General features: G+C 41.3%; 1 pseudogene, besides 1 other annotated feature; it reads left to right on the top strand.

Moving 5' to 3' along the window:
• Positions 6751 to 7253: an enhancer, noted in NCBI's record as "NANOG-H3K4me1 hESC enhancer chr2:85914228-85914730 (GRCh37/hg19 assembly coordinates)". NCBI's record gives its function as "activates a minimal SCP1, AML or CMV promoter by ChIP-STARR-seq in naive H9 embryonic stem cells {active_cell/tissue: H9 hESC(naive)}" and the evidence as "EXISTENCE:reporter gene assay evidence [ECO:0000049][PMID:30033119]".
• GPR160P1 (GPR160 pseudogene 1) lies at positions 6968 to 7919 on the top strand (annotated as a pseudogene).

Raw genomic sequence — 11070 nt, 5'->3', positions numbered from 1 at the left:
AATCTTTCTCAGGTCCTGCCCTTTTTGTATGTCATCTCCCCCGTGTCACTGGGTTTACCACAGATACAAATACCAGTGTGTGAAGAAGCAGCTCAGGGCAGTGGTAGCCCACAGGGTCCATGCCACACCCCACTCCCACACAACTAGAATGTGGGGTTGCTGGAGGCCAGCAGCTGCCAGGATGCCTGGGATGTGCCGATGGAGGGAGAAACCCCTTAGTACAAGTACGTTCCAGATATTGCATGGGACATACTTATACTAAAAGTATAAGTGAGTCATCTCACTTGACCCAAAAACTATTTTTAAACAGCTTTTTAATTTAACAATATACCACGAACATCTTTCCACATTTGTAAATGTAGATCTTCTTCATCATTTCCCCTGGTTGCCTAATGGTTCCCTTTACACATGAACCATAGCTGGGGTCCTGTAACTCTGGGACTCGTGTCCCCTGTGGTACTTCGGCTTGAAGAGCAGAGGCTGGGAAGCCTCTCCAAGGGCTCACCCAGTAGTCAAGTTGAGTGATGTGAGGGCCTTCTTCAGACAGGGTGCCTCAGCATCTCAAAAAGGCAGCTGTAGCTCCTCCAGGCTACAAGGCCTGTTCACGTGGAAAATGGAAAGAGTGAAGCTGAAAGAGGTGGTACCTGTATAGGAAAAACATCTTTCCCAGGGACCCTCAGCCTCCATCTCATTGATCTGAACTGTGTCACATGATGACCCTGGCTGCAAAGGGCAATAGGAAGGGAGTCTTTTGCTGGACCTTCACTGACACTTTGCTTTTTGTTGTTGTTGTTTGTTTTTGTTTTGTTTTTCTTTTTTGAGACAGAGTTTCACTCTTGTCACCCAAGCTGAAGTGCAGTGGTGTGATCTTGGCTGATTGCAACCTCCACCTCCGGGTTCAAGTGATTCTCCTGTCTCAGCCTCCTGAGTAGCTGGGATTACAGGTGCACGCCACCATGCCCTGCTAATTTGTGTGTTTTTAGTAGAGACAGGGTTTCACCATGTTGGCCAGGCTGGTCTTGAACTCCTGACCTCAGGTGATCCGCCTGCCTCGGCCTCCCAAAGTGTTAGGATTACAGGCATCAGCCACCGCACCTGGCCTTCATTGACACTTCGAACAAAATTGATATCCTGCTAGGGAGGATGAGGGAATGGGAATCGTATAGGCAATGGCAGTGTCAGCTACCGCAGGACTTTTTTTTTTTTTTTCTGATACAAGTTCTTGCTCTGTACCTCAGGCTAGAGTGCAGTGGTGCAATCACAGATCACTGCAGCCTCAACCGCCCAGGCTCCAACAATCCCCCCACCTCAGCCTCCCAAGTAGATGAGACCACAGGTGCTTGCCACTACCACCCCTGCTGATTTTAAAATTTTTGGTAGAGATGGGTCTCCATATGTTGTCCAGGCTGGTCTCGAACTCCTGGACTCAAGCGATCCTCCCAGCCTCCAAAGTGCTGGGATTATAGGCATGAGCAACCACGCACGGCTTTGCAGGACTTTTTGATAAGGAAACATATTTCAGGAAGAATTGGTAGGACTTTGTACCTATATGATTACAAGAAAGAAAGAAGAGAGAGGAGGCAAAGGTTTTACTAGTATTTGGGGCCCAGGAGGCTGAGGGACTGGCTGTGAAAATTAGGAAAAGGAGCTTTCTGGTGAGAAGTTGAGTTTGAGGTATTGCATTTGTGGCTGTCTTGTTTCCCCAGCTGTAAATCAACTGCTTGAGAGCAGGGCTGCCTCTGCCTGTCAGGGTCTCCCCACCATGCCTAGAACAGCTCTCAGACCAACCGGCAAACTCGTTTTACCTCAGATGAGGAAACCAGGACTCAGAAAGATCCAGTGAATTACCCACCAACACACAGCTAGGAAGGGAATGGTCTGTGGATTTGAACCCAGACCCTACGACTCCAAAGCCCAAGTTTTCCCCCAGCCCTACCCTAACTCAGTGTCCAGGTTTTCAGTGCAGGGCCACTTAACCCTCTTGAGGCCAGCTCAGGCACTACTCCCCCATCTGAGCAGACCCCCTCTCTCCTGACCACTTGTAGACCTTGGTCTCATGTGTGAAGACCACATTCTTGGGGGTAAAGGGTCTTGAAAGGTGACTCATGTCTCTTTATTGTGGGAAACTTGGTGAGACCAAACACTGCAGTAAGTCCTTGTCAGAGGTATTGAGGAGTACGTGGCAAAGCTCATGTAGTTAGTCACAAGCCTCCACCCAGGCCTCTGGGGTCCCGTGTGATAAGAACCTGGGGTAAGTTTTACCCAATTCCCACCCATGGTACCCCAGGAACTGGCCCATTGCAAGTCAGGCCCAGGCCCACAAAGAATTCCTCTGTGAAATATTGCCTTCTGCGGAGCTTGCAGTGAGCCGAGATCGCGCCACTGCACTCCAGCCTGGCGACAGAGCGAGACTCCGTCTCAAAAAAAAGAAAAGAAAAGAAATATTGCCTGCTGTATCTTCTTCAGGAAATCTTCACTTACGCTATCATAAAAATCACCTCTATGTTTTTTTCTAGAACTTTTATAATTTTAACTTTGACATTTAGGTCTATGACTCATCTCAAATTAATGTATAGTGTGAGCTGGGTTGAGGTTTTGTTTCTTCATATCAATTTCTTGAAAAGATTTTTCTTTTCCCATTGAATTGCTTTGGCACGTTGGTTGAATATCAATTGACTGTGGGTCTGTTTACGGACTCCTTATTATATCAACTGCTACTGCAATAATAATAATAAAGCAATCCAATTTTTTAAATGGGCAAAATATTTGAACAGGTAATTCGCAAAGGAAGATAAGAATGACCAAAACATTTGAAAACCTGCTCAACATCGTAAATCACAAAGAAATTCCTTTTTTTTTTTTTTGAGATGGATCCTCACTCTGTCGCCCAGGCTGGAGTGCAGTGGCGTGATCTCGGCTCACTGCCACCTCTGTCTCCCGGCTTCAAGCAATTCTCCTGCCTCAGCCTCCTGAGTAGCTGGGATTACAGGCACACACCACCAAACCTGGCTAATTTTTGTATTTTTGGTAGAGATGGGGTTTCACCATCTTGGTCCAGGCTGGTCTTGAACTGCTGATCTCAAGTGATTCACCCACCTCAGCCTCCCAAAGTGTTGGGATTACACGCATGAGCCACTGCGTCTGGCCAAGAAATTCTATATTAAAACTATACTGAGATGATGCATCAACATGACTAAAATTAAAAAGACAGAAAACCCAAATGCTGATGTGTCTGTGGAGCAACTGGTACTCTTAAGCATTGTTGGTGGGAATATAAAACACTAATAACTGAAAATTGGATTGACGGTTTTTCAGAAAGTTGAGCGTACACCTGCCCTGTGACTCAACAATTTCACTTCTATGTATTTACCCAAACTAAATGAAAACACCTCTACATACACAGATTTATACAAGAATGTTCACAGACATGTAACCCAGCAATTCCACTCCTAGGTAGACACCCAAAAGAAATAAAAGTAGATTGAAACAGATACTTGTACATCAATGTTCATAGAAGCATTATTCACAGTAGCCAAAAGATGGAAAGAGCCCAGGTGTCCATTGACAAATAAATGGATAAACAAGCCGGGCATAGTGGCTCACACCTGTAATCCCAGCACTTTGGGAGGCCAAGGTGGGAAGATGGCTTGAGGCCAGGAGTTTGAGGCCACCCTGAGCAACATAGTAGACCCCAGCTCTACAGAAAAAGTTAAGAATTAGCTGAGCATGGTGGCATGTGCCTGTACTCCCAGCTACTCAGGAGGCTGAGGTGAGAGGATTGCTTGAGCCCAGGAAGTCGAGGCTGCAGTGAGCCAAGGTCATGCCACTGCACTCCAGCCTGGATGACAGAGTGAGAGCCTGTCTCTAAGAAAAATTAAAATTAAAATTTTAAAAAGTGCATAAACAAAATGTGCTCTACATATACAATGGAATATGATTCAGCCTAAAAAGGGAACACAGTTCTGATACATACTACAACATGAATGAACCTTGAAATAATTATGCCAAGCGAAGTAAGCCAAACACAAAAGGATAAACATTGTATGATTCCACTTACATAAAATTTATAGAATAAACAAATTCATAGGGACAGAAAGTAGATTAGAGGTTACCCAGGGCTGGAAGGAGTGGGAAATGAAGGATTTAGTGCCCACTGGTTAGACTTTCCATTTGGGATGATGAGAATGGTTTTGGAAATCGATAGTTCCAAATAGATGATTCCACAATCTTGTGAGTATAATTAATGCCACTGGATTGTACATTTAAAATGGTTAAAATGGCTAATTTTGTCATTTATTTTTATTAATATTATTTTTAATTGACAAATCATAATTTTATATATTTATGGAGTACAATGTGATGTTTTGATATATGTATACCACTTGGAATGATTAAATCAAGGTAATTAACATATCTATCACCTCCGTTATCATTTTTTGTGGTAAACGTTTTATGTTATATGTATTTTACCACAATAGAAAAAAATTGTTTTAAAAGGTTGTTCAAAGAAAATGAAAAAAGGAAGAATGAATGAATAAATAAATAAATAAATAAAAGATTGTTTGCAGAAGCTTTTTCATAACAGCCAAAAATTAGACATAACCCAAATGTCCATCAACAGGTCAATGGATGAAGAAATTAAGGTAGAGCCATACAATATTATACATAACTACTTGGCAATAAAAAGGAATGAACTACTAATACAAGCAATAAAATGAATAAATCTTTAAAAAAAAAAAAAAAAAAGGAAAAAGAAGCCAGACACGAAAGACTACATTCTGTATGATTCCATTTGTATGAAGTTCTTGAGCAGCAAAATTCATCTATGGCAAAAGAAATCAGAAAAATGGTAGGAGGTGGGAGGAGGATGTGAGGGTTATTGGGCTGGCACAGGGGTATTTTTTTTAGATAGTGAAAGTGTTCTATATCTTAATTAGCTTGTGAATTGCATGAGTGTGCATCTATCAAAACTCTTCAAACTGGACACTTAAGACTTAAGCATTTTGCTAGATGTAAATTATACCTCAATTTAAAAATTATCCAAAAAATTATTATTATTATTATTTTTGAGAGGGAGATTCCCTCTTGTTGCCCAGGCTGGAGTGCAATGGCATGATCTTGGCTCACCGTAGCCTCCGCCTCCAGTATTCAAGCTATTCTCCTGCCTTGGCCTCATGAGTAGCTGGGATTACAGGCGTGTGCCACCATACCTGGCTAATTTTGTATTTTTAGTAGAAACGGGGTTTCTCCATGTTGGTCAGGCTGGTCTAGAACTCCCGACCTCAGGTGATCCGCCCGCCTCAGCCTCCCAAAGTGCTGGGATTACAGGTGTGAGCCACCACGCCCGAACAAAAAAGATTCTTAAGTTACAATTTTATGGCTCCCAATGAACAATATCAAATACTTCCCCAAAGGATTGTACCCATTTACAACATTGCCAACATTGTATGAGAGTTCCCTGCACTCTCACCAGCATTGAATATTGTCACACTCTTTATTTTGCAAATGTAATGAGTGAAACTAACACCTACTTTTATTTCCATTTCAATGACTACAAATTAAGTTTAATATTTTCCCAGGTATTTGTTTACATTTACATTTATTTTGAAATTGTCTTTTTATGTCCCTTGTCCAATATCTACTGGACTCTACTATGTTTTTCAATTTGTAAGACTTCTTTACTAATAAATACATTAATGTTTTGATATATTTGCTACAAATATTTTGTCACTTCTTGATTGACCTTTAAATTTCCATAAGGTTCTTATGCATAGAAAGTTTTCATTTTCTATAATCAAATATGTATATTTATGACATATTTTCTCAGTTTAGAAAGTTGTGATTGCCTCTTTTTCCCTAGAAAATATTTTTTTTGCTAATTTTTACAGTTAGACTTTTTTTAATGTGACACTTCAATCCTCTGGAATTGATTTTAGGGAGGTATGAGGTGGGATGTATTCTTTTCAAAATGCTATTCCCTTAGTGTAAAGGTATTGATTGTATACTTTCCCCTCCTCTCCATTGATCTGAAATGGTTCTTTTATTGTATATTCAATTATATGTAATAGGATCAAATTCTGACCTATCCATTCTGTCTAATTGACCCAAATATCTTGTGTTCTATTAACACCACATTATCTAATCCTGCAGTTTTCTTGATATTTTCCTTTGATATTCCTTTACTTTTAAATTGTACATTGGGTAATATTTTATTTACTATAATACTTTATATGCTAAAAGTATATATAAGGTATAATATTTATATACTAAATATTAAATATCTACTAAATGCTAAATATAAATTATTTTGACCAATAGTATATCAGATTCTAATTTTCACTTTTAATTTTGTTATAACTAAAAACTAATATGGAAAAAATTCACTTCTTTATAGCCACTCTTTCAGCCATGATCATAGTATAACTTTTTTTTTTTTTTTTTGAGACAGGTCTGGCTGTGTTGCCCAGGCTGGAGTGCAGTGGTGTGAGTGGTGTGATCTTGGCTCACTGCAACTTCTGCCTCCCAGGTTCAACTGATTCTCCTGCCTCAGCCTCCAGAGCAGCTGGGATTACAGGCGCCCGCCACCACACCTGGCTAATTTTTGTATTTTTAGTAGAGACTGGTTTTCACCATGTTGGCCAGGCTGGTCTTAAACTCCTGGCCTCAAGTGATCTGCCCACCTCGCCCTCCCGAAGTGCTGGGATTACAGGCGTGGCCACCGCGCCCAGCAGATCATAGTATGACTTTCTATTTTTTCCAAGTCATCTTTTTTCTCTCTCAATAAAGTTTTAGGAAGAGTTTTCCAGTGCAGGGGAGCTGAGCATCAGCCAACCCAGGACCCGGACCGTGATGATTCTGGGTGGCCAGGGAGATGGTGGGGGTCAGCGGGGGGCAGGAGACTTCAGAGGGATGTCCAGCTGGGAGCAGATCCCTCTCCGCTTTCTCCCCAGCTTGCGCAAATGACTCAGAGCCTATTCACGTGACATTTTGATATAACAAAACAAAATGCCAGGGACTCAAAATGAGATAATTAAAGGCAGTAAAACAGAAATAAAATAGGGAGATAATCAGCCAAAAAAGACCTATGGGAGAAAGCAGATGATGGGAAATAAAGTGAAGCAGATTTTTTGGTATGTGTTTCACCAGACTTTCTGAAATTTAAAAAATGATGACCCTTTATTTAGAGAACTGCTCTTCTCAGCACCAGTCACAGCAAACAAGCAGTCCCTAGATGTTAACTGTCTGATTGCACTTGGGAAAATATTATTAAATAGCCTCACCCTAAGAATGAGAAGAAAATACACCTGTGAAATTGTATGGAATATTTTTACATTTCACCAGCATCCATCAATCTCGTACTTTTGGTAAACATTTCCATCATCTCCTATTTCAGAAATTCTGTACTTTCAGGCACTAGGTTTACTAAATACCACATCTGCCTATTTACTCAAATGATGTCCTTTACTTAAAGCCTTTTTGCATTATCCAGTTTTCCTGATAGTTTGTATAGATGATTGCCTGAATTTCTCAAAAAGCAAGCTTCCCTTAAGCGTCAAAATTATTTTTATTTCTTTGCAGTAATTTCAATTTACGTTTCAGTCCTTGCTTACATTTTGGGAGACCCAGCTATCTGCCAAAGCCTGAAGGCACAGAAGGTTTATTCTCATCAATGTCCTTTCTACATCAGCATTCAGGGCTAGTGGCTGTCATTTTTCGTGATGATTTTATGGTTTTTATAACCTCTTTGTTACATGATTTTAGGATAACTTTCTATATGAATGAGACTATCCTATATCTTCTTCCCTTTCATCCCATTCTAGATATACTGTGAGTTCTAAAAAATTACACTTGCCCAAACTCACTGTTTTCTTGGTACCTGGTTGTCATTTGTACCACTTCAAGTAATCATCCTTTTTCTTTGTTTTGTTTTGTTTTGTTTTGTTTTTTATTTGAGACGGAGTCTCGCTCTGTCGCCCAGGCTGGAGTGCAGTGGTGCAATCTCCGCCTCCCGGGTTCACGCCATTCTCCTGCCTCAGCCTCCCGAGTAGCTGGGACTACAGGCGCCCGCCACCACGCCCACCTAATTTTTTGTATTTTTAGTGGAGACAGGGTTTCACCGTGTTAGCCAGGAAGGTCTTGATCTCCTGACCTCGTGATCCTCCCGCCTTGGCCTCCCAAAGTGCTGGGATTACAGGCGTGAGCCACCGCGCCCGGCCCGTAATCATCCTTTTTCTTAAGGTACAGATTCCAGCACTGAGATGAGTTCTCTGGTTGTACTTTGTCAATAGTTTTCTCATCGCTAGTTTATTGGTTTAATCGTCACAAGCTTAATTTAGGAGACATCGAATTACCTGTGGATCCATTTGTCAGCTTGAAATGCTGCTTCCTTCCACATACAATTTATAATCTTGAAAATTTGCTCAATAGGAATCTGTTAATATGTTGCCATTAAAAGTGAATTAAAATTTACAACTACAATAAGAATCATAATTTTATGATTGGAAAAGAATGATGAGTCGGGATATATAAAAAACAAGCTGAAGCCTGAGGCAGTGGCCCGCACCTGTAGTCCCAGCTTCTCAGGAAGCCCCGGAGTTTAAGAGCAGCCTGGGCAACATACGGAGACCCAGTCTCAAAAAAAAAAAAAAAAAAAGGATGAAAGCCTTTCCCCTCTAACTTTCACACCTCTTCAGAATGTATCTTTTGGGGATATGGATTATTTATTAAATGTATCTTATTTTAAAAACAAAATAATTCCAGCCAGTCATGGTAACTCATGCCTGTAATCCCAGCACTTTGGGAGGCTGAAGTGGGACGATCACTCAAACCCTGGAGTTTGAGATCAGCCTGAACAACATAGTGAGACCCCATCTCAAAAAAAGTTTTTAAATTTAAAAAACAACTCCAAGAACATTTGTTATGCCTGTTCAGGGACATTGTATATTATAAATATTAATTTGCTATGTAAATATAAAATTTACTACCAACTTTATGATATAAACAAATGAACATTTTAATCAAATTGAAAAACAAAAACAACTCCTCGGAAGCAGCTTGCCACCCAAAATATAAACATCAGTGAGAAAAGCAACACAAAGAAAAAGGCCTCGGGCAACTCTCTCACCCTCCATTTTACCTTCCTTCCAGCTGGACTCCCTTAGGCTGAGAAATCACTTCCACTGCCCTTGACTGTATTAATTTTCTATTATTGTCACAGCAATTACCACAAACTTAATGGGCTAAAATAACACCTGTGTATTATCTGACAGTTCTGGCGGTCAGAAGACTGGGTGTGCTCAACTGGTTCTCACAAGGCCAAAGTCAGGATGTGGGCTGGCAGGGCTCTAACCTGGAGGATCTGAGAATAATCTGTTTCTAGGTTCATGCCACATTGTTGGCAGAGCTCAGTGCCGTGTGGTTGCAGGACTGAGATCCCCCTTTCCGTGCTGGCTGTTATCAGAGGGTCATTCTCAGCTCTAAAGGCTGCTGGTATCTCCAGGCTCATGGCCCTGTCCATCCCTTCAAAGCCAGCGATGGTGGGGTAAATCTTTCTCAGGCTTCCAGCCTCTCTGAAGCCCTCTCTGCCTCATCTTCCTGTCCCCCATTCCACTACACACACACACACACCCACTCACACAAACTCTTATACATACACACAGAGTTCAAACACACACACTCACATAGACACACTCATATAGACACACATAGGCACACACACATATGCATGCACTCAAACACACTCTCACATACACACACTCACATAGACACTCTCACATACACTCTCGCATAGACACATACACTCATATAGATACACTCGCATAAACACACACATAGACACACACACTCTCGCATAGACACACTCTCACTCACATAGAGACACACTCTCACAGACACATACACTCACATAGACATACATACACACTCTCACACAGACACACACACACTCTCTCTCTCACGTAGACACACAAGCCATTGCCTCTTCTGTCTTCTGCTTAGATCCCTAGTCCTTGCTTCAGTACCTGCAGCTGGAGAACCCCTTCTTTGCTTTCTCATCCATGCATTTATGATGAAAATTTGTGGATTTTCCTTACGAACAGTGCGAGGAAATATTTTATGTATTTTTGACATTTTAATGTACTTACGAAAAGCATAAGGAAAAAGAATATAAGCCCCCACTAGTTCATAGCCTCTCTCCTCAGAGGAAAGAAAAACTGTTAAAATTTTCCTTTTTTGTACCTTTCCATACAAGCATGTATATATATGTTGCTCCATTTTAAATTACACAATGTAAAATATATTCAGAAATGCACACAAAACAAAACGTACAGCTCAATGGTTTATTATCAAGCACACATCCACGTAACCACCCAGGTCAAGAAATCTGCCAGCTCCCCAGAAGCCCCATCATCTTCCCTCCCAGAGACCACCCCTTCCTCCTTCCCTAGGGAGGACTTAATGATCATTGTGTTCTTGTTTTTCTTTATAGTTTTACCACCTGAGCACATACTCATAAACACCATAGCTCTGTTTTCTCTGGTTTGTTTGTTTGTTTTGAGCTGGAGTTTTGCTCTTGTTGCCCAGACTGGAGTGCAATGGCGTGATCTCGGCTCACTGCAACCTCTGCCTCCCAGGTTCAAGCAATTCTCTTGCCTCAGCCTCCTGAGTAGCTGGGATTACAGGCGTGCGCCACCACACCCAGCTAATTTTTGTATTTTTAGTAGAGACAGAGTTTCACCATGTTGGTCAGGCTGGCCTTGAACTCCTGACCTCGGGTGATCCACCTGCCTTGGCCTCCCAAAGTGCTAGAATTATAGGCATAAGCCACCATGCCAGGCCTGTTTTCTCTGTTTTTGAAGTGTATATAAATGGAACTGTACAGAATGATTGTCGCATCTGACGTCTTTTGATCAGCATTCATGTGTGAGATGGTCCATGTTGTCGTATATTTGAGCAATTTGTTCCTTTCTACTGCTGAGCAGTATTCCATTGTATGGATATTCCACAGCTTATCCATTGTCTTGTCCATGGATAATGTGGGGTGTTATCAGTTTTGACCTACTGTTATTTACC

This window comes from Homo sapiens, chromosome 2 (assembly GCF_000001405.40).
Source record: "Homo sapiens chromosome 2, GRCh38.p14 Primary Assembly".
Taxonomy (NCBI): Eukaryota; Metazoa; Chordata; class Mammalia; order Primates; family Hominidae; genus Homo; species Homo sapiens.
This window is presented reverse-complemented; position numbering and strand designations above follow the sequence as displayed.